Source organism: Homo sapiens, chromosome 1 (genome assembly GCF_000001405.40).
Source record: "Homo sapiens chromosome 1, GRCh38.p14 Primary Assembly".
Taxonomy (NCBI): domain Eukaryota; kingdom Metazoa; phylum Chordata; class Mammalia; order Primates; family Hominidae; genus Homo; species Homo sapiens.
The window spans coordinates 29,005,151-29,029,327 of NC_000001.11; the positions used below are offsets into that span (position 1 = coordinate 29,005,151).

General features: G+C 39.9%; 1 protein-coding gene across 70 annotated transcripts in view; it reads left to right on the forward strand.

The window, feature by feature from the left end:
* Window positions 1-24,177, forward strand: part of EPB41 (erythrocyte membrane protein band 4.1) — a 232,942-nt gene that overhangs the window by 118,051 nt on the left and 90,714 nt on the right. For all 70 annotated transcript variants that reach the window (NM_203342.3, NM_001166005.2, NM_203343.3 and 67 more), the window contains 3 exons: window positions 6,715-6,757; window positions 10,542-10,617; window positions 13,074-13,292. In NM_203342.3, coding sequence (NP_976217.1) covers window positions 6,715-6,757; window positions 10,542-10,617; window positions 13,074-13,292 — 338 coding nt within the window. The remainder of the gene's footprint in view (window positions 1-6,714; window positions 6,758-10,541; window positions 10,618-13,073; window positions 13,293-24,177) is intronic.

Genomic DNA, 24,177 nt, shown 5'->3' on the forward strand with positions numbered 1-24,177 from the left:
CAGCTTCTGGGGAGGCCTCAGGAAACTTAGAATCATGGCAGAAGACTATGGGGAAGCTGGCACATCTTACATGGCCAGAGCAGGAGGAAGAGGGGGTGGGATGCTATGTACTTTGAAACAACCAGATCTTGTGAGAACTCTTATCATGAGAACAACACCAAAGGGGGAAATCTACCCCCATGATCCAGTCATCTCCCACCAAGCCCCACCTCCAACACTAGGGATTACAATTTGACATGAGATTTGGGTGGGGATACACATCCAAACAATGTCTGCTCCTATTCATTTTACCTCTTTAAATGCCATTTCTGTAGTTGAAACTTTATTAATCTATCCTGGTTTACTTCAGTAGCGTCATTCATCTATTCTTTGTTCATTCATTCATAAACATTTATTATTCAAATAGTATCTGCCTTGTGCTGGGCAGAGCTATAAAAGACAGTCTCTTTCCTCATGGAGCTCCCAGACTGACTAGGCAATAGCAGTAAGATGGACACCCACATGGATGGGGAGTCAGAAGGGGTTTTCTGGAGAAGATAATAACAGATATGAATTATAAGAGACAGTCAGGAATCTTCCAGATGAAGAAGGAGGGAGAGAGTATTCCAAGTAGAAGAAACCACTTGTAAGAAGGTGTTTTGAAAGAAGAACCCATAGGAGACGGGTAATACTTTAGCCAAATGAATGAAGATCTATATCAGGATATTGCTGCTCTTCATCTCTATATTATTTGGAAAGTTGTTTTTTAAGCCAGAGAAGGAATATAATTCTTTTTAATGCACAAGCTTAAATTCTGCTTAAAGTGTTAATATATTTAATTCTCAGGATATGATTGATAAAATGGACTCTTCAAAAAGAATCCATACCACTGAAAATATTCAAATAGAACTAGATTATTCAGAATTACTATTTTAGGGGACATCTGAAGATCCTGCTTTTTTCCTCTAGCTCTAACCCTTTCTTCTATGCTGTAACCATACTCTTTGAGAAATTGGTTTGCATATATTATTCTCTATTGCCTTACTGCATATTAGCTTAACATAACACAAGAAAGGTGTAAATCGTACATATACATCCCAAAGAATTTTTTTTTTTTTTTTTTTTGAGACGGAGTCTCGCTCTGTCGCCTAGGCTGGAGTGCAGTGGCTTGATCTTGGCTCACTGCAAGCTCCGCCTCCCGGGTTCACGCCATTCTCCTGCCTCAGCCTCCTGAGTAGCTGGTACTACAGGCGCCCGCCACCCAGCCCGTCTAATTTTTTTGAGTTTTTAGTAGAGACAGGGTTTCACTGTGTTAGCCAGGATGGTCTCGATCTCCTGACCTCATGATCCACCCGCCTGGGCCTGCCAGAGTGCTGGGATTACAGGTGTGAGCCACTGCGCCCGGCCAAAGAATTTTTTAAAAGTGAACACATCTGTATAAACGCCCCCAAGATAAGAAAAATGAACATTATCAGAACTCTAAAATCCCCTATTGTGTCCCTTCCAGTCACTACCTCCAACCCCTTATCAGTTGTTACTCCTCCCCACTCCCCATCAAAAGTAACTTCTTCCTCCAGCCTGGGCGACATAGTGAAACCCTGTCCCTACAAATACAAAAAAATTAGCCAGGTGTGGTGGTGAGCACCTGTAGTCCCAGCTACTCAGGAGTCAGAGGTGGGAGGATTGCTTGAGCCGGAGAGGTGGAGGTTGCAGTCAGCCGAGATTGTGCCACTGCACTCCTGCCTGGGTAACAGAGTGAGACCCTATCCCAAAATTAAAAAAAAAAAAAAGTTACTTCATCCTGATGTCTATCACCATCAATCACTTTAGCCTGTTTTTAAACTTTACATAAATAAAATCATACAGTGTCTTCTCTTAGGTAGGGTTTCTTTGGTTTCATTCATTATGATGTTTTTGAGATTCATTCATGCTGTTTCAAATAGCAATAGTTCATTCTCATTACTGTATAATTTTTTTTTTTGAGACAGGGTCTCACCCTGTTGTCAGGCTGGAGTGCAGTGGTACGATCTTGATTTACTGCATCCTCCACCTCCCTGGCTCAAGCGATCCTCCTGCTTCAGCCTCCCGGCCTCGTTACTGTATAATATAATATTTCATTGCTTGACTACACCACACTTTATGTACTCTACTACTGATAGACATTTGGCTTGTTTACAGTTTGGGGCTTTTACGAATGCTTCTGCTAGGAACATTCTTGTAGGTGCCTTTTGGTATACATCTCACCGTAAACATTTCTGTTGGACATGTTCCTAGGTGTGAGACTGACGGATTTTAGAGAAGGCATATGTTCAGCTTTAGTGATACTATCAAACAGTTTTCTGTAGTGGTTTTACCAGTTTACATTCTCACAAGTAATAAGCGAAAGTTTCAGCTGTGCCATGTCCTCATCTGCACTTGATATAACTCATTGCATTTTGATTTCTGCCCTTATTGCTCTGCTGAAACTGTTCTTACCAAGATAAATCTGACATGTTTTATCCTCATGTTACTTGTCTGTTTTGCGGTATTGATGATCTTAATTACTCCCTCCTTGAAACTTCCTATTCCTTTACATACTGTGATACCAGCCTTTCCTGTCTTTCTCTCACCACTATAGTCTCTTCTCCTCAATTTACTTCTCAGCTCTTTGTTCTCTCTCCATACCTTAAATGCAAGTGTTCCCCAAGTTTCCCCCTTTATTTTCACTCTAATACATACTCCTTGGGTGATTTTTAAATCTTCTTTAATGGGTTCATTCTACCACCTACATGAGGAAGGTGCCCAAATGTATATCTGGTCCAAATTTCTTTTCTGAGTGCCAGACCTGCTTATACAGCTTTCTATGAAATATTCCACTTGGATTTCCAAAGATACTTTAAACATATACCTATTTAAATATATTACAATTTATTCATTCAATTGTTGATGTACATGTAGGTTGTTTCTTGTTGCTATTTTTTTCTCCTTTATAACATGTGTTCCTTTCCCTGTATTTCCTGTTTTAGTGAATAGTGCCACATCCACCCAGTTGCCCAAGCCAGCAACTTGAGAATTATTCTTTACCACTATACCTTACCAACCCTCATCATGAGCCCATCCTTCCCCTACATCCCATTTACTTAGTCACAAATCGTAATAGCTTTAACTCTTAATTTTTTTTCCTCTGTCCCATAGACTTTATCCCATCAGACCCTTTTGATCAATATCAGTACCATTTATTGAATACTGGCTGTGTGCTTTTAGTATACATCAAATAATTTAACCTGCAATAACTCTGTGAGGATGGTAGTTTTATCCCAATTATACATATGAGAAAATTGAGGCTCAGAAACACTGTCTTATGTAAGGTTACACAGCTGCTAAATGGTAGAGAGGATGAGGCAGGATTGGAATTCAAGACTGTCTGACTTCAAAGCCTGTACCCTTAACCATTATATTCTGCTGGACCACAGTTATCATTCTCAACAACAGTGTCTTTTCTGGTCCCCCTGGCTACAGTCATGCTTTCTCTAATTGATGTCACTCCTTTATTTTAAATCCTTCAATGGCTCCCGCTTGCTAAGAACTTGATAAAGTCTAAGTTCTTAGCATGGAATACTCTCCCTCCATGTCTGGTCCTTACTGTTCTTTTCAGTTTTACATCTCTCCTCTTTGCCTCTGTGCTCCAGCTATGCTGAACCACATGCAGCAACTCAGGTGTATTGCAGTCACTTTTATACTTCTGTGCCTTTCTAATTATTTCGTTTTCTTCTTTGCCTGGCTAACTCATTTGTCCTTCAAGACTCCATTTAGATCCCCCAGACATTCTATTAAGAAACATTTCCTAACTGACTTCTAAACCATTTTGGTGCATGTCCTCTGTGCTCTCAGAATACCCTATGCTCTATCATAGCACTAGCACATATTTTTTATCATTGTAATTGTCACACCTCCTCGAACAAACTGATTGTTCTCTTTTTGCCTCCTGATTAGAATGACAGCTCCCTAAGGACCAGTGCTAGTTTTTAATCCTTCTTTTTTTTTTTTTTTTGTAACCACAGTGCCTAGCACATGGAAGCATTCCTCAAATATTTGTTGGCTAACTAAAATGCTGGAAATTAAACAATTTAAATTGAGCATAAAAGTACCTGTTCTTGTACACATTGATTTTTATTATCTCCAGAAGATTTTGTTTTTGATTTTGATTTGGAGGTGTAGGTAATTGAAGCAACAACAATTTATTCTACATGGTAGCTTATACCCTGGAGTCTTTATATGATTGACACAAAAGTGGGTTTGCCTTCCCTATGTCAAGTTAGTAGAAATTCTCGCACAGACTCAGAATGGTTCATAGAATCCCTGGAAGGAACTTGGCAGCTTCAGCTTACCTAGGGAGATTCTCTTAAAATAATGGAAAACATGAGTCTTCTATGGTAAGAAATACCTACTCCAAAGTGGTAAAAAGTGGTAGTAGTTCTGGATTGCATGGTATAAACCAAGGTTCTCAGAGGTTTCATGAAACTCAGTTGGTGCTTTTAAAGTCTTCCTTTGCCTTTGAAAATACGGCAACTTTTTAAAAATTTTCTTTAGTCTAAATGAAAGACTAAGGAGAAAACACCCAGGTCACGCCTTTCTGACAGGCTTAAACAAGTATGTGCTTATTTTTATACCTTAGAACAATTTAATAATATGTGGCATTTATTATATATATTAATTTTCTGGTTTAATTGTGGTGGGAGTATAAAAGAAAACTAGTCCCCACTCTTAGGTTTATTGTCTGTTGTAATGATTATATAATAGTCAAAGTAGTATATAATCAATTTTTAAAATGTGGTGTTCAAGCCCATTCCTTCAATAGGGCAAATGGGATAGTCACCATATGCTCTGCCCTTGTTGGTAGAGGGTGAGGAAGGGACACCTTACTCCTTTTTTCTAAATACCACTGTCTCTGGGTACGGTGGCTGACACCTGTAATCTCAGCACTTTGGGAGGCCGAGGTGGGCAGATCACTTGAGGCCAGGAGTTCCAGACCAGCCTGGCCAACATGGTGAAACCCCATCTCTACTAAAAATACAAAAAAATTAGCCAGGCATGGTGGTGGTTGCCTGTAATCCCAGCTACTCGGGAGGCTGAGGCAGGAGAATTGCTTGAACCCGGGAGGCGGAGGTTGCAGAGAACCAAGATTGCATCACTAAACTCCAGCCTGGGCCACAGAGCGAGACCCTGTCTAAATAAATAAATAAAATGCCACTGAAATTCAATTTTAAATCTTTTGGACAAGGGAAGGGGAGGGATTAGGAAGAGGCAAGAGAGGGGCTCCTGAGGTGCTAGTAATGTTATAATTCTTATATGTTCACTTTGATATTTTATTGATCTTTATACTTATGTTTTATGTACTTTTCGACATGTATCTTGTATTCCATTAAAATGTTTTAAACAATTCTAGAAATTTAGAAATTTCTGTCTTTAAACATTTCTCAAAGGGACCTATGAAAGATGTTAATGGTGAGGTTCTTTTCCAGTGCCCTTATTTTGCATGGTCTACCATGGGTTGAGGAGCCCTAGCCTAGTGGTGTGCAGATTCTAAGTGGAGTGGGAGAACAGTGAAGGACAAGATTGGCGTGGGCAAGAGTAGTTTGGGAAAACAAAATATTTATTCATTCAGTAAACGTTAACTGGGCACAAGCCATGTACTGAATACTGTGCTGATATAGAAAACTTTGGCCAGGCATAGTGGCTCATGCCTATAATCCCAGCACTTTGGGAGGCCGAGCCGGGCAGATCACCTGAGGTCAGGAGTTGGAGACCAGCCTGACCAACATGGTGAAACCCCATTTCTACTAAAAATACAAAAATTAGCTGGGCATGGCATGGTGGCATGCACCTGTAATCCCAGCTACTCAGGAGGCGGAGGCAGGAGAATCACTTGAACCCGGGAGGCGGAGGTTGCAGTGGGCTGACATCGAGATTGCGCCATTGCTCTCCAGCCTGGGCGACAAGAGTGAAACTCTGTCAAAAAAAAAAAAAAAAGAAAAAAAAGAAAAGAGTTTGAGACCAGCCTAGCCAACATGTTTGGCAAAACCCCATCTCTACTAAAAATACAAAAATTAGCCGGGTGTGGTCGTGGGCACCTGTAATCCCAGCTACTTGGGAGGCTGAGTCAGGAGAATTGCTTGAACCCACGAGGCGGAGGTTGCAGTGAGCTGAGATTGTGCCAGTGCACTCTAGCCAGGGCAATAGAGCGAGACTCCTTCTCAAAAAGAAAAAAAAAAAAAGAAAAAACTTGAAGGAGACTAAAGGTCAGGGTTGGAGGGGAAAATAAAATGTGGATGCTGTCAATTAATTCTGGTTGTAGCTATCTACTAGTCTTTATAGAATAATATAAATAACCAATGCTTACTTAGCATTTGCTGTTTACTAATATATTTACATGTATTAACTCATTTTATCTTCACAGTAACACTATGAAGTAGGCACTACTACCAATATCTCATTGTATAGATGAGGAAACTGAGGTACAGATTTCCTAAAGTCACTCAGCCAGGAAGTAGTGGAGCTAATATTCAACCCAAATGTCAGGGTCCCTTTTTGTCTGCTCAAAATCACTATGCTTTGTGAAATTAATGCAAAGACTATCAAAGGAAATGCAGGTTGATCTGGAGGCACTATTTGAAGATAGTCAGTGATCTTGCTTCCAGTACTCTGTTGTTTATGTGTTTTGGAGCTCTGTGTGAATGCCTTTTCTCCTTTTTACAGACATGGCTGGATTCCGCCAAAGAAATAAAAAAGCAGGTTCGTGGTAAGTGGATATAGCTCTTTTTATAGTTCTTTCTTTCTTTTAGTAGGTCAGAGGATTTCCAACCATTTCTGGCTGTGAGTCAGTCACTTTAGAATCCTGACTACTGCAGATTGCTTTGAAATCGAGATAAAGCCTTCTCCTGGAAGGAGGAGATTCCATAATAGAAAAATATAGCAGAGGTGGATACTATTGAGATGTAGGTCAGATTTTGTTGATTTTTTTTTTTTTACAACTGGGCAAAGTTGGGGAAGATAGGAAGAGTTGAGAGTAACAGAAGGTGGAAAAGAACAAAGATGAGAAAAGAAAAAGGATATGGGAGTCAGTTCTCAAAATGGTAGTGACTTGAAACCGCAGTTGCCTACTAGGAGTTTGCTGCCGTATCCTATTCCTTTGAAATTGTTCTGAACTATTGCATTATAAATTTTATGTTTTCCTCTTTATGGTTGTTTTCATCCCTTTTAACAGTCCTCTTCCAAACTGCAGTATAAAGGACTGTGGAAGAAAAAAAGAATGGAAAGACAAGAATTGCTTGCCACTGACCCTTCTGACATTGTGGCTTTGCTCCTAGCTCTAACTCTAATGTATAGTCCCGCTTTACACCCTGATCAGACTGGTGTCCTGGGATAAATATTTCTGGGCTGAAAAAAGTACAGATTAGTATTTTGCAGTTCCAGGCCCAATGGCTAATTAAGACTACCTGTCCTTTTAGTTTAGTTTTGAAGAAACTTCCAGGAAATGCAATAGTTGTTATTTATCATGATTAGTAAGTTTTAACACTCACCTGAAAACAAACTTTACTTTTCATTTGTTTCTTAGAAGAAAACACTTTTGTTATGGTGAAATGTTTTTCTTTAGACCCTATTTGTAATTGTTTAGTTTTCTTAACGGAAGAAACAAAATACTCTTTTGGACTGATAACTCTCTGTATTTGCTTTCTACCTATAAAAGCTCGTTTTAAAATGCAAGTCAGAGCAAACAAATATTCAGAATATTTGAGACACCACAAGAAAAATATAACTCCTTGCTCCTTTCAATGAAAATACTTTTAATATGAAATATTAGGAACATATGATTATCCAAGAAGATTCTTTAAGAGAAAAAGTTAACAGAGTTTATGATGAGTAAAAAAGAATATCTAGTAGATTATCTTCCTGGGTATTTAAAAAAAAATCTTGCTAAGAAAAGGAACCTTAATATTTTTCAGTTAAAAAAAATTACACCATCCTGGCCAACATGGTGAAACCCCGTCTCTACTAAAAATACAAAAATTAGCTGGGTGTGGTGGCGCATGCCTGTAATCCCAGCTACGCAGGAGGCTGAGGCAGGAGAATTGCTTGAATCAGGGAGTCGGAGGTGGCAGTGAGCCGAGATCGCGCCACTGCACTCCAGCCTGGCGACAGAGCAAGACTCCATCTCAAAAAAAAAAAAAATTACAGAATGATAAAAACGCTTTCTTCAACATGGGGGAAAAAAACAAAACAAAACAAGAAAAACACCATGTCCCTCACAAAAACTTTAATAGAGAATCAAACTGTAAACATTTTTTTAAGCCAAAGAGAAGAATGACATTTATTGCAAAGGTGGGGGTTTTTTAAATTTTGTTTTTTGTGTTTTTGTTTGTTTATTTGTTTGTTTTGAGATGGAGTTTCGCTCTTGTTGTCCAGGCTGGAGTACAATGGTGTGATTTCGGCTCACTGCAACCTCCACCTCCTAGGTTCAAATGATTCTCCTGCCTCAGCCTCCCAAGTAGCTGGGATTACAGGCATGTGCCACCATACTTGGCTAATTTTGTATTATTTTTAGTAGAGACAGGGTTTCGCCATGTTGGCCAGGATGGTTTGGAACCCCTGACCTCGGGTGATCCACCCTCCTTGGCCTCCCAAAGTGTTGGGATTACAGGCGTGAGCCACGGCGCCCAGCCCTTAAGTTTTTTTTTTTTTTTTTTTTTAATCACACAAGTAATATATACCCATTGTAAGAAATTTAAACATTGTAGGAAATTATCATGAAGAATGTAAGAGTCCTCTAAATCCTGTCCTCTGGATATAATCACTGTTAAACTGATATAATCTGCAATATTTTTTTCTAGGCATATATACATTTTGCATTTTAAAAATCCAAGTATATGGCCAGTTGCAGTGGCTCACGCCTGTAATCCCAGCACTTTGGGAGGCCGAGGCAGGTGGATCACCTGAGGTCAGGAGTTAGAGAGCAGCCTGGCCAACATGGTGAAACCCCGTCTATACTTAAAATACAAAAATTAGCTGGGCATGGTGGCAGGCACCTGTAATCCCAGCTACTGGGGAGGCTGAGGCAGGAGAATTGTTTGAACCTGGGAGGTGGAGGTTGCAGTGAGCTGAGATCATGCCATTGCACTCCAACCTGGGGGACAAGAGCAAGACTTCGTCTGAAAAAAATAAAATAAAATAAATAAATAAAAATTACAAGTATGTTATATGTAGTTTTTAAATTTAATTTTTAAAATAGATGTTATAAATATGTGGTATAAAATAAAAAGATACATATGAGTATAGTACGAGGTAAATCTCCCTTCTCTCCTTGTCCTAGTCATGCAGTTTTCGTTCCTGGAAGCAACCATGGTAACGTGCTCTTTCCAGAGATGGTCTGAGTGTAATAATATATGATATATATTTTAAATATGTATATATATTTTTAGAGATGGGGTTTCACTCTGCCACCCAGGCTGGAGTGGAGTGGCACAATCCTAGCTCATTGCAGCCTTGAACTCCTGGACTCGGGAGAGCCTCCCTTCTCAGTCTTCAAAGTACTGGGATTACAGGTGTAACCCACCACACCTGGCTGGTCTGAATGTATATAGACACACACACGTGAACGTGTGTTTTAATATAAATATGCAACCAATCTTTTTTGTTTAACATAATTTGGAGTGCTATCCATATCAATATATATACATTTATTTCATCTCTTAATTTTAGGCCAGGCACGATGGCTTATGCCTGTAATCCCAGCACTTTGGGACACTGAGGTGGGAGTATCGCATGAGCCCAGGAGTTTGAGACCAGCCTGGGCAACATAGGGAGACCCCGTCTCTACAAAACATCTGAAAATTAGCTGAGTGTTGTGTACATGCCTGTAGACCCAGCATTTCTCAGAGTATCTCTGTCATTAAGTGAGGCATGGCAGGCATGAGCCACTGTGCCCAGCCTTGTTTATGTAGTTCTAATCCTTTATAAATCAAACGATTATATTAAGTCAGGCAAAAAAATGAGATCCTCTAGCACAAATCCTTAAGTGATATCTAAGCAACTTTCTTCTTTTTAAAAAATTGCTTTATCCACCAAGCATGAAAATATTTAAAGATGTATTAATATAAAAAGAGAAATGTAGGCTGGGCGTGGTGGCTCATGCCTGTAATCCCAGCACTTTGGGAGGCCGAGGCGGGTGGATCGCCTGAGGTTGGGAGTTTGAGACCAGCCTGAACAACATGGAGAAATCCTGTCTCTACTAAAAATACAAAATTAGCCGGGCGTGGTGGTGCATGTCTATTATCCCAGCTCCTCAGTAGGCTGAGACAGAAGAATCGCTTGAACCTGGGAGGTGGAGGTTGTGGTGAGCAGAGATCACGCTAGATCACGCTTCACGCTACGGCACTCCAGCCTGGGCAACAAGAGTGAGACTCCGTCTCAAAGAAAAAAAAAAAAGAAAGAAAAAGAAAAAGAGAAATGTTTGAATATTTTGAGGTACTTCCAACAATTAGAAACTTAGGTATAAACGTAAAATTCTTTTGTGTTTATTTTTATAGGTGTCCCTTGGAATTTTACATTTAATGTAAAGTTTTATCCACCTGACCCAGCACAGTTAACAGAAGACATAACAAGGTAAATAAGTAATAGTTAAATATGTAATTTATCATATAATAATGTGTATGATGAGACAGTAATTCTTACCACCATAAGCTCTGCTAATTCCGTATTCAGAACTGAAGAAAAATAATGATATTAAGTAGCCTAGGATTGAAAGTTTCTGGTCACTTCAAGGCAGGCATACAAATAAGTGAATCTAAAAGCCTTGAGTATCTGTGACCTGTATCATAAGTATCAGGAAATTGGCAGGGGAACTGGCCTTGCTTATCATGGATATTATGCCAAGCTGTGGGCAGGGCTTCTACCAGCACCCTCCAAAGGGCAAGACACAAATATAGTGGTAAAATGACTCTACTGTTTTTTTTGTTTGTTTTTTGGGGTCTCTTTTCATACTCCTTTCCCACCATGTTCCTTCTTTTTGTTGTTGTTTTTTGTTTTTTGAGACGGAGTCTCGCTCTTGTCGCCCAGTCTGGAGTGCAATGGCACGATCCTGGCTCACTGCAACCTCAGCCTCCTGGGTTCGAGCGATTCTTTTGCCTCAGCCTCCCGAGTAGCTGGGATTACAGATGTGCACCACCACGCCCTGCTAATTTTTTTTTTTTTTTTTTGTATTTTTAGTAGAGGCGGGTTTTCGCCATGTTGGCCAGGCTGGTCTTGAACTCCTAACCTCAGGTGATCTGCTTGCCTCGGCCTCCCAAAGTGCTGGTGTTACAGGCTTGAGCCACTGCACCCGGCCCCACCATCTTCCTTCTTATAGGTATCAAAAAAGCTGAAAGCCTAAGTGTTATTATTTCTTCCTATCTCCCTTTTAAAATGTTTGATGAAGTACTTAATCCCCTGAACTGAATCTTCCTTGGAGCCCACCTAATTTATTAAATCCTGCGCTCTTTAAAAACAGCCTACTGATGTCTTTTAAGAAAATGGCTTTTATTGGATTCTATAAAAATATTAACTAAAAAAGAAAATGGAAAATCAATATATTATAAGTACTACTGTGCATATTTATATTCATGACATCTTGCATAGGGTCTTATCCACAGGAGATGCTTGTCAAATGTTTCTTAAATTAAACTGTTGGTTGTTGAGTAACTGCTTTCTATTTCTGATTTTGCTGCCAACTATCTGATTCCAGGCAGATTTACAGTCTTTAGGCCTAGATAGTTTCCATATCTCTCAAATAAGAGAATAGACTAACCTCTTTAAAAATCTGATTATTAAGTTCTATACAAAGTCAATGCCATTTTTTCTTATTATTTGTCATCTAGTCATCCTCAGTACATTCTTGAAGTTGAGATGCCGGATTTCTGCCTTAAAAGATTCCTTTGGTTATTTCTTTTTCACAGTAATATTTGTCTTTTGGAGTTGCTACTTAATCATCTTTTTCCGTCTAGGCTTATGTATAAAACAAAACACATTTCTAAAAATCTTTGCTAATTATTTACATTTTAGAGGAGTTTAAAATTTTTGTGCCTTGTTTGGCATTGTTCTGACATTTAAAAAAATGTACGTTATGACTAATTATAGCAAAATGTTATTTAATATCTTATAATAGAAGCAAAGATATGATTCTAATTAATTTAGGAATTGTCAATTTAATAATACTTTCCTGTTTGGTAAAACTGTCTGAATTGGTGAACTCAGTCAGTTAGAACACGTGGTAAGGAAGTCAGGGCCATAGGTGTGAACGTTACACTGATGGAGAGAAAAGTGTCAGCGTGGTAAGGCACTCATTTGGTTTGTTGGACTGAACTGTTTTAACTGCAAACTGTGCAGTTCCCAACAGTTTAGCACACAGATGGGATTAGTCTTACAAGGTGGCTAATAGTATGTAGAAAGCTGCATGCGACTTAACTCATCTTGGAGAGAAAATACACCAGAATATTTATATCCTAGTGAAAATGTCAGTAATGTCATCTTTGTATATGAAGGACTATATCTGCACACTTGGCATAGCAATGTGATAGAAAAGAAAGGGCCTGGTTTTGGAGCCAGTCTTCATTACTACCTGACACCGAGCACGCTAAGCTTCTGAGCTGCTTCCTCATCTATAATCTGGCAATGATACCTACCTCACAAGTTTTTTTTATGTGTGTGTGTGAAGATTAGGTGAGATAATTTATATATCTGTGGTACTTAGTATACTTAAAAAAATAGTAGTTTCATTACTTCCTTTAGACTTTTCCAACCTTTCCTCTTTCTAAATGTGTCCAATATAGTTACAGTATTTTTTTTAAGTTTTAATATGTAAAAATTTCAAACACACAGAGAGAAATAATAGCGCAATGAACTACCATATACCAACTACCTAGATTGAAGTTATTATTATCTCATATTTACTTAATTGCTTTCTTTTCTTCTGTGTCCTTATTTTTTCTCTCTCTCCCTTTCTGTTTCTCCCCTTTTCTCCTTTTTCTCTCTTTATATTTTGTTGTTGTTGTTGCTGACATAACATTTTTCTCTTTTGGCTGTAGATATTATTTATGTCTTCAGCTTCGGCAGGACATAGTTGCAGGACGTCTGCCCTGTTCCTTTGCAACCTTAGCATTATTAGGTTCTTACACCATCCAGTCTGAACTGGGAGACTACGACCCAGAACTCCATGGCGTGGATTATGTTAGTGATTTTAAACTGGCCCCGAATCAGACCAAGGAACTTGAAGAGAAGGTCATGGAACTGCATAAGTCATACAGGTGAATATGTCTCCAGGGTTTGTTCGGTGTTTGTTTTGGCGATTAGTTTAAACACAACATGGTATTGGTTCATTGTTTGCCTAAGAGGGATCATGGTGCCATAGAAAGAGTCAGTTTCCTCCACTGTTTGACTTTGGGCAGGTTACTTAACCTCTCTTAATCTAAGCTTTCTCATCAGAGTAATAGGCATTGCATTGTAGGGTGAAAACTAAATGAGGTAATATATGTAAAGCACTTAGCACAGTGGCTGGCTCAGTGCTCAGCAAATGGCAGCTATTATTATTTTTGTTTCCTTACCTTTTATTTTTTATCAGATTTAAAGCTAATTATGCTGCATTAGGTACCTTGAGATCCTTAGAGCAGGGGTTTTTAATTTGAGATCTTTATACATGGATAGATTTCAGAGGGCCCGTGAAACTCTTGGAAGTATTTTTAAAAGTCTTTATTAAATTTACTGACTATACTGCTTTTATACATGAAAATGATTGGTAATGCTGGGAGTTATCAAGTGATCAAGAACAAGAGTTTACAGTCAGTCTGAGCTGGGTTGAAATCTTGACGTTGGTTCCAACCTTGTGACCTTAGGTCTTTCAATTATAATGTCTCTGAGCCTCAGGTTTCTTATATTTCTGATGGAGATTATCACCTCAGAGAAACTAGGGGGACTGCTAGGTTTAGAAAAGGTATTGTGGGCTGACCACAATGGCTCGCACCTGAAATCCTAGCACTTTGGGAGGCCGAGGCAGGAGGATAACTTGAACCCGAGTGTTTGGGACCAGCCTGGGCAACATAGCAAGACCTCATCTCTACAAATAATTTAAAAATTAGCCAGGCATGATGGAGCACTCCTGTGGCAAGTAGCTGAGGTAGAAGGATAGTCTGGGAGGTCAAGGCTGCCATGAGCTGAGATCACACCATTGAAAGGTGATGTGTGTAAAATACTGAATACAATGTCACAATGTCTTTCATGTGGTAAAAAATTCAGTAAATATTAGCTAATATTAAAGTGCCAGAATAATTTGTGTTTCTTCCTCCTCATACATTCATTGTTACTTGAGTGACTTGCTATAGCTTAGTTCTGTAAACTGCCTTAGCATATTAATGTGAAAATCTGACCTTGGCCTTGAATTAGTACCCTAAGTTACGTTAGCATGAGTTAGGTTGCAAAGTTCCAAAGGATCACACTGCTCAAAGAGAAATCCAAAGAGTGGTGTCGGTAGGCTTGCCATGATAGTAAAAATTATTCTTTCCAGCCATTGAGCCATCTTGTTCTCCTTGGGGTAGTTGGAATAGGATTGCATGGATTGGGATGCTTCAAATGAGAGAGCTGTAACTTAAGATGTCTGAATTCTAGGTGCGTTATTGCCCCTGTAGGTTCAGGTACCTCAGTCATGAGGACCATACTAAGGACTTTAAAGTCTACAACCTACATAGCAGTAGTCTTATAAGAGTTACCCATCTCTCTTGGGGTCACACTATTTCCAAAGAGAACTGCACGTTTGCTTTTTAAGTTTTGACTTATTCCAGTACCAATGTCTGGAGTCACTAAATACACCACTTTCAACTTGTTGATGACTATAACTTAAGCATGTTACATTGTCTTTGAATACATTTTTATTGTTTTTATTTTTTATTTTTATTTTTGAGATGGAATCTTGGTCTGTTGGCAAGGCTGGAGTGCAGTGGTGCAATCTTGGCTCACTGCAGCCTCCACCTCCCGGGTTCAAGCAATTCTCTGCCTCAGCCTCCTGAGTAGCTGGGATTACAGGCGCCCACCAACACACCTGGCTAATTTTTTGTATTTTTAGTAGAGACGGGGTTTCACCATCTTGGCCAGGCTGGTCTTGAACTTCTGACCTCATGATCCACCTGCCTCGGCCTCCCAAAGTGCTGGGATTACAGCACTTTTATTTATATTCTGGTTATGATTCTCAACATTTACATATATAAAAAATAGGGACATATAAAAATATATGCATATATACATAGAAAAGCAAGTACTGGAAAGAAACAAAATAATTTGATTAATTAGAATGTCAATACTGTAGGGAAATGTTATTTTTATTACCTAATAATTTAAAAATATTTTTTATTAGTTATAATATAACCCTTGGGCAATCAGTAAAATAGTAAAAGAAAATATTTTACTGCTGCCATAGAGCTGAACCGCAGAAAATGATGATGTCAGATTGTGATTGATACTTGAAATCTGTCTCTGATTTTTTTTTTTAAAGAGAGATGGAATGTCACTGTTGCCCAGAGTGTAGTGTAGTGGTGTGATCATAGCTCGCTGCAGCTTCAATCTCCTAGGTTCAAGTGATCGTCTCATCTCAGCCTTCTGAGTAGCTAGGACTATAGGTGTGTGCTACCATGCCCAGCTAATTTTTAAATTTTTTTGTAGAGATGGTAGTCTCACCATGTTGTCCAGGCTGATCTCAAACTTCCAGCCTCAAGACTCCCAAGGTGCTAGGACTACAGGCATGAACCTCTGCGCCCGGCCTAATGAGTCTTTTAATGGTTATCTGATCATAATAGAATCTCAGGTTTGAGAGGACTTATAGTCTCTCATCCAATGCTTGATTCTCCTTTATAGAATTGTTACATAATAATCATAATAAGTAGCCAGTTATTGTGCATCTATTATTATGTGCAAGATACTATGATAAGCACTTTATGTAAAACATCACGTTTAATCTTTATAACCACCCTTTGAGTTAGGACAACGGTTCTCAAAGGTGGTCTACAGACCCTGGAGATCTTCAAGATTCTTTCAAGGGGTCCATGAAGTCAAAATTATTTTTGTAATAATGCTAAGATGTTATTTGCTTTTTTCACTCTGTTGAAATGGGTGGGGCACAAATCAAGGCAGTTGGAGCAAACTGTACTAAGAGTCACTATATTGTTCTCCAGCATGCACTTGCAGCTGGAAGTGCAAGAAAGCCAGCTTACCTTAGAATTTTCCTAACGAAGCAGCAAAAAGTATTAATTTTATTAAGTCTTGAATACATTTCTATTTAATATTCTGTGTGATTAGATGGGAAGTACACACAAAGCATTTTTGCTGCATACTGAAGCACAACAGTTGTCTCAAGGAAAAGCACTTGTGCAATTGAGTTGTGAGCTGAATTGGCCATCTTTTTTTTTCTTTTTTTTTTTTTGAGACGGAGGCTTGTTCTGTCGCCCAGGCTGGAGTGCAGTGGGGTGATCTCCGCTCACTGCAAGCTCCGTCTCCCGGGTTCACATCATTCTCCTGCCTCGGCCTCCTGAGTATCTGGGACTACAAGCGCCAGCCACCACGCCTAGCTAATTTTTTGTATATTTAGTAGAGACAAGGTTTCACCGTGTTAGCCAGGATGGTCTCAATCTCCTGACCTCGTGATCCGCCCGCCTGGGCCTCCCAAAGTGCTGGGATTACAGGCATGAGCCATCGCGCCCGGTGGCCATCTTTTCTATAAAACACCATGTTTTCTTGAAAAAATGACAAACTATGATTATTCGGACTCGGTTATTTGACACACATTTTCTCAAAAATGAAATGAGCTAGTACTTTTAGGAAAGCAACTGACAGTATTTGTTGCTAATGACAAAATTCAAGCTTTCTGGTAAAAATTGGAATTTTGGAAAACTTTTATATATCCCCATGATCTTGACAGCTTTTAAAGACTTTTCTGCTAAGGTCAGTGGTTATTTTAATGAATGTGTTTTTTTATACACATATTATATCAAGGTTTGGAAGATTTTCATAACTTGGTGAACAAGTATTTTTCAGATTAGAAATGCACAATGTTAAAAAAATCATGCACAGGTAAAAGATCCATTCAAAATGCAAGATAGACCAATGGATTTTAATGTAACAGTACAAAAAGTTCATTGATAAGTTTCTACATTTCACATTGAAAATTATCTTTAAGAAACTGCCATTGATATAATAAAAAAAAAAAAAAAAAAAGAAACTGCCATTGATAAGTTTTAGTGTAATACCAGAAAAGAATATTTTAGGCCAGGCGCAGTGGCTCATGCCTGTAATCCCAGCACTTTGGGAGGCCGAGGCAGGCGGATCACAAGGTCAGGAGTTTGAGACCAGCCTGGCCAATATGGTGAAACCCTGTCTCTACTAAAAATACAAAAATTAGCCAGGCATGGTGGTGGGCACCTGTAATCCCAGCTACTTGGGAGGCTGAGGCAGGAGAATCACTTTAACCTGGGAGGCGGTGGTTGCAGTGAGCCAAGATCGTGCCATTGCACTACAGCCTGGGCGACAAGAGCAAGACTCCATCTCAAAAAAAAAGAAAAAAGAGTGTTTTAAATTCATAGTCACCCCTTTTCAAACTACATGTCTGTGTGAGATCAGATTTCTTCACATACTGCCAAATCAATATATTGCAACAGATTGAATGCAGAAGCAGTTGGGAGAATTCAGCTGTCTTCTATGCCAGACATTGAAGAGATTTGTAAATATGTAAAGCAAAGTTACCTTTTCATCACTGTTTCAGAAAATATTGGTATTTTTCAGAAATTATGTTATTTATGTTAAAAAGTAATGGGATTACCATTATTTTATTTTATTTTGAAATGGAGTTTCACTCTTGTCGCCCAGGCTGGAGTGCAATAGTGTGATCTCGGCTCACTGCAATCTCCGCCTGCTTGGTTCAAGTGATTCTCGTGCCTCAGCCTCCCGAGTAGCTAGGATTACAAGTGCCTGCCACCACACTTGGCTAACTTTTGTATTTTTAGCAGAGACAGGGTTTCACCATGTTGGCCAGGCTGGTCCTGAACTCCTGACCTCAGGTGATCTGCCTGCCTTGGCCTGCTAAGGTGCTGGGATTACAGACGTAAGCCACCGTGCTTGGCTGGATTACTGTTACTTTTTAGAAATTTAATAAACATTTTAAATTTTCCTTAGTTAAAACAATTTTAATATAGTGAATACAAATAGCTATAAGCCACATAAAGAAAAGCTCTTGACCGGGCACAGTGGCTCATGCCTGTAATCCCAGCACTTTGGGGGGCCAAGGCAGCCAGATCACCTGAGGTCGGGAGTTCAAGACCAGCCTGACCAACATGGAGAAACCCCATCTCTACTAAAAATACAAAATCAGCCGGGCATGGTAGCACATGCCTGTAATCCCAGCTCCTCAGGAGGCTGAGGCAGGAGAATCGCTTGAACTCGGGAGGCAGAGGTTGCAGTGAACCGAGATCATGCCATTGTACTCCAGCCTGGGCAACAAAAGCAAAACTCCGTCTCAAAAAAAAGAAAAAAGAAAGAAAAGCTCTTTAGGGTCCTCAATAATTTTTACAATAATTGTTAAGAGAATAAAGAGGTCCTGAGATCAAAAAAGTTTGAGAACCACTGAGTTGGGGCAATAGGGCACCATAGTTAAAATCTTGGGCTCTGGAGTTAGCCTTTCTTTAAATTCAGACTCCATTCCTTGTTAACTGTGTGCCTCTTGGTAAGTTACTTAAGCTCTCTAAGCTTCAGTTTTTTCATCTGAAAAATAAGGGCAATAATGTGAATTTTCTAATTGTTAAATCAGAAAATTTATATAAAGTGATTAGTACAATGACAGTATATAGTGAGAGTTCAAATATCTGCTATGATAATAATAATTCTTGGCTGGGCACGGTGGCTCACACCTGTAATCCCAGCATTTTGGGAGGCCAAGGCAGGTGGATCACGAGGTCAAGAGATTGAGACCATCCTAGCCAACATGGTGAAACCCCATCTCTACTGAAAATACAAAAATTAGCTGGGCATGGTGGCGCGCACCTGTAGTCCCAACTACTCTGGAGGCTGAGGCAGGAGAATTGCTTGAACCCAGGAGGCGGAGGTTGCAGTGAGCCGAGATCATGCCACTGCACTCTAGCCTGGGTGACAAAGTAAGACTTCATCTAAAAATAAATAAATTAAAGGCCGAGCGTGGTGGCTCACACCTGTAATCCCAGCACTTTGGGAGGCTGAGGCAGGTGGATCACGAGGTCAGGAGTTCAAGACCAGCCTGGTCAAGATGGTGAAACCCTGTCTCTACTAAAAATACAAAAAATTAGCCGGGCTTGGTGGCACGCGCCTGTAATCCCAGCTACTCCGGAGGCTGAGGCAGAGAATTGCTTAAACCTGGAGGGGCGGAGGTTGCAGTGAGCCGAGATCGCACCACTGCACCCCAGCTGGGCGACAGAGCGAGACTCCGTCTCAAAAAATAAATAAATAAAAAATATAAATAAATATAAATAAAAAAAAATTCTTATCCTCACTTCACAAGTGATGAATGTATGTGTCTTGGTTTGGAGAACTAGTTTTAACCTTTATCAGAATGTAAACCCAATTAGGTGAAACAATCTCAAGGGACAAATGGATATAGTTCAGCTGATATTCTGTTAGAGATGTGGTAGAAATTGAGCAATAATGGATCGCCGTGACCAGAACATTTAGGAGTCTGTCATCTTGGAATTTACTTGCTCCTTTTTGGAAAGATTTGCAACCCTCACAAACCCAAAGGAACAATTTAATTATGTCCAACAACATGGCATTTTAACTAATCCAAAGAAACTTCCACTGAGGCATATGCATTTTACTATGCATTGGAAAGTGCAGTACAAGCACTTCTCAGATAGAAGACAGCCTGCATAAATGGAATCCTTAGTAGTGGCCCTTTGCCCAGACTGGGATTTTAAAGCTATAATTAACACTTTAAATTTACACTAGCAAATCAAGCTTTAAAATTAATTGCCCTCCATTTATTGGTATTAGGAAGGTATGTAAACTTGTCTATTGTCCCCCACTTAATTCTTTGAAATCACAATCCTTAATTAGGAGATATAACAAACATTATTAAAAGGGAGTCACATAACACTGGAACACACCGAATAGCTCTATCCTGATTGCACTTGCTTGAAATAAATGCAGGGAAACTTTATTGTAACTTCTCTTTTTAATGAGCTTTAACCAGTGCCGGAGCTTCCTGGTCAGGTACTTTTGTAAGCTGCAGTACTTACAAGTAGTAAATTATTAGGTGGTACTGAAAAAATTCAAGACAGTACTTTTAATGGTTTAGAGGTATCTAATCTCTTCCCAGCTGGTTTGTTATGACGCTCAAAGGTCTTGGAAATTTTAGGGAAAACCTTGATCATTAAAATTTAAGGCAAAAAATAATTTATTTTGTGATATTAATCTTTCAAATATATGTGTTGTGTTAACATGCACAGATGTCTGTGGGTGGTGAGATTATATATTTTCTATGCTTTTAATGATATTTTCCAAATTTTATACAGTGAATGTGTATGATTTTTATAATCAGATAAAGCTTTCTGGCAACATTAGGTGGGGCAGAGCAAGGTAGTCATCCATGCAGAGGGGCAGTCTGGCTTGGGATATTGAGGCCTAAGCAGAGTGAGGAGTGGGTCCGTGGGTTGGAGGGCAGCCTGGCATGAAGAGTCAGAGCTCAAGTGGATGAGGATGGTAGTCATGTGTGGGCACCTGGTGGTGGGTTTCAGAAGCCAAGCAGAGCAAGAAGGGCATCCATGTGGGGGAAAAGCCTACACAGGATGTGGAGGGCATCCATACAGGGTGGTGCTTGATGCACAGTGTCAAAGCCTAAGCAGGGTGAAGAGATGGTCCCACACCAGCAGTCAGAACCCTGGTGAGGTAAGGAGGACATCCACGTGTGCTGAGTAGCCCAGAATGGGGAATTCAGGGTTCAAGTAGAGTGAGGAGGACATCCACATACAGTAGGGGTTTGTGGCTGCAATGAGAGATTATATGATTATACAGAGGGATTGATCAAATTAGTCAATGTATTCAGGGTAATGGGAGCCAGGTTTCTCACTGTCAGTAAAGTGAGACACAAATTATGGAAAGGGAGAAACTAAAATGAACCCTGTTAGGATATTGCGTTAAAACTGGAGGCTTCAATGTGAACTTGTGGTTTCCAATATATAGATAGGTAGATATAGAAATATAGATGTAAAAAGGTAGATACATACACAGATACATACTCTAACTCTACATTGTGTCAGAAGGAAGTACTGGAAGAATGATGGGAAATGGTCAGAAGGACACAGAATCCAGCTTGGAGAGGTTCCCACTACCAAATCTGGGGCAATTTAAGCATCAAAATAGATAAGGAAAATAATTGATATACTGCATTGAATAAAATGAAAATTCGTGAGTCCATACTGACATAAATAAATAAATTGAAATTTTAAGGCTGGGCATGGTGGCTCATGCCTGTAATTCCAGCACTTTCAGAGGCTGAGGTGGGCTGACTGCTTGAGCCCAAGAGTTCACTTGAACCTGGGAGGTCAAGGCTGCAGTGAACCATGATGGTGCCACTGCACTCCAGTCTGGGTGACAGAGCAAGACCTTGTCTCTTAAAAAAAATTTTTTTTGGCTCACACCTTTAATCCCAGCACTTTGGGAGGCTGAGTTGGGCAGATCACGAGGTGAGGAGTTTGAGATCAGCCTGGCCAATATGGTGAAACCCCATCTCTACTAAAAATACAAAAATTAGCCAGGCATGGTGGCGGGTGCCTGTAGTTCCAGCTACTTGGGAGGCTGAGGCAGAAAAATCACTTGAACCCAGGAGGCAGAGGTTGCAGTTAGCCGAGATCATACCACTGCACTCCAGCCTGGGCAACGGAGTGGGACTCCATCTCAAAAAAAAAAAAAAAATTCTTAAGTTAGAATTACATTTTTTTAAGAATTGTAAAGGGACCTTGTTATGTTGTGCAACCTGAACAACCTGAAGTGCAGTGCTATTTACAGGTGTGATTGTAACTCACTTACAGCCTTAAACTCAAGCAATCTACCTGCCTCAGCCTCCCAAGTAGCTGTGACTACAGGTCACTGCACCCAGCTAAAATTATTCTTTTTCTTTTTTTAGAGACAAGGTCTCTCAACATTTTTTTTTTTTTTGAGATGGAGTTTCATTCGTTGCCCAGGCTGGAGTGCAATGGCGCAATCTCGGCTCACCGAAACCTCTGCCTCCCAGGTTCAAGCGATTCTCCTGCCTCAGCCTCCCAAGTAGCTGGGATTACAGGCATGTGCCACCACGCCCGGCTAATTTTGTACTTTTAGTAGAGATGGGGTTTCTCCATGTTGGTCAGGCTGGTCTCAAACTCCCAACCTCAGGTGATCCGCCCACCTCGGCCTCCCAAAGTGCTGGGATTATAGGCATGAGCCACCGCGCCTGGCTGAGACAAGGTCTCTCTATGTCGCCTAGGCTCATAGACTCAAGCAATCCTCCTGTCTCAGCCTCCAGAGTAGCTAGGACTATAGGTGCATGCCACTGAGCCTGGCTAAAAATTAGGTAAAAAATTTTAAATGCAAACATCAGCCAAACTTCAAATATAAATATTATTTTCAACTAACAAGTTTTAAAGATCTCCCCTTATTTATTTATTTGTGAGACGGAGTTTCGCTCTTGTTGCCCAGGCTGGGGTGCAATGACGCAATCTCGGCTCACCACAACCTCTGCCTCCCAGGTTCAAGTGATTCTCCTGCCTCAGCCTCCTAAGTAGCTGAGATTACAGGCATGCGCCACCACGCCCAGCTAATTTTGTATTTTTAGTAGAGACGGGGTTTCTCCGTGTTGGTCAGACTGGTCTTGAACTCCCTACCTCAGGTGATCCGCCTGCCTCGGCCTCCCAAAGTGCTGGGATTATAGACGTGAGCCACCGCGCCAGGCCTGATCTCTCCTTATTTTTTAAAGCATGCTTATTTATAGAAGCATGTAACTACATACTGTGAAATTTAAATCTGTATTCAAATTGATTGACCCTATTAATGTCCCTTAGGGTAGGGTAGGAGGAGTGAGTATAGGGAAGATTTTATCATAATTGCTTTACTTAATGTTTTAAAATTTGTCTTCAAATTCAAGTGATCCAAATTGTGTCTCTTAATTTTATGATTTGTGTGTAGATGAACCACTGGACTATCAGAAAGCTAAGGCTGCAATAATAACTATTCATGTCTATAAAGCAGTTTTACAACCATCATCTCATTTCGATCCCAATAGTAACATTCATTCATTCAGCAAAAACAAAGTCATTGCCTATCCTAGTATCTAGAAATACGCATTATTATGATTCTCGTTTTATAGAGGAGATGGAGGGAGACACTGGCTGGCCACTTACAAGTACTGAAGCCTGGATTCCAGCCCAAGTATTGTGACTTGAGTTTTGACTTAAGTCTGCTGTCTCAACTAAGGGTCCTAACTTGCCTGTGGTAATGTGATCCCTGAGAACCTGTTTCTTCAACAGCAAAATGAAATTATTGTACTCTTTAAACTTCAAGCTCCTTTCCAGCTTCAAAATCCTAAAATTCAGCGGGAGTGGTGGCTCACGCTTGTAATCCTACCACTTTGGAAGGCTGAGGCTGGAGGATGGCTTGAGCCTAGGAGTTCAAGATCAGCCTGGGCAACATACTGAGACCCCCTCTGTACGAAAAATAAGAAAACTAGCTGGACATGGTGGCATGCACCTGTAGACCCAGCTACTCAGGAGTCTGAGGTGGGAAGATCACTTGAGCCTGGGAAGTGGAGGTTGCAGTGAGCTGTGTTTGCACCATTGCACTGCACCCTGGGTGACAGAGTGAGACCCTGTCTCAAAAAAAAAAAAAAAATTCTAAAATTCATCTCGTCAATAACAGTAACAACAACAGAAACATAAAATAGGAGTAATGTTAACTAGAAAAAAATGTAACTTAGATGGAAAAAAATTAAAAACTACAAAACTTTCCTGAAATGTTTTTAATGACTTGAATATACAGACTTGCATAAGGGGCTAATTTTCCCATTCTCCTTTTTTTAATCTTCAATTTCAGGTTCATTAATAAATAGAATTAGGTGTGATGCTTCAGTGCTTGTGAAAATAAGTTTGTTCATGAAGGCTA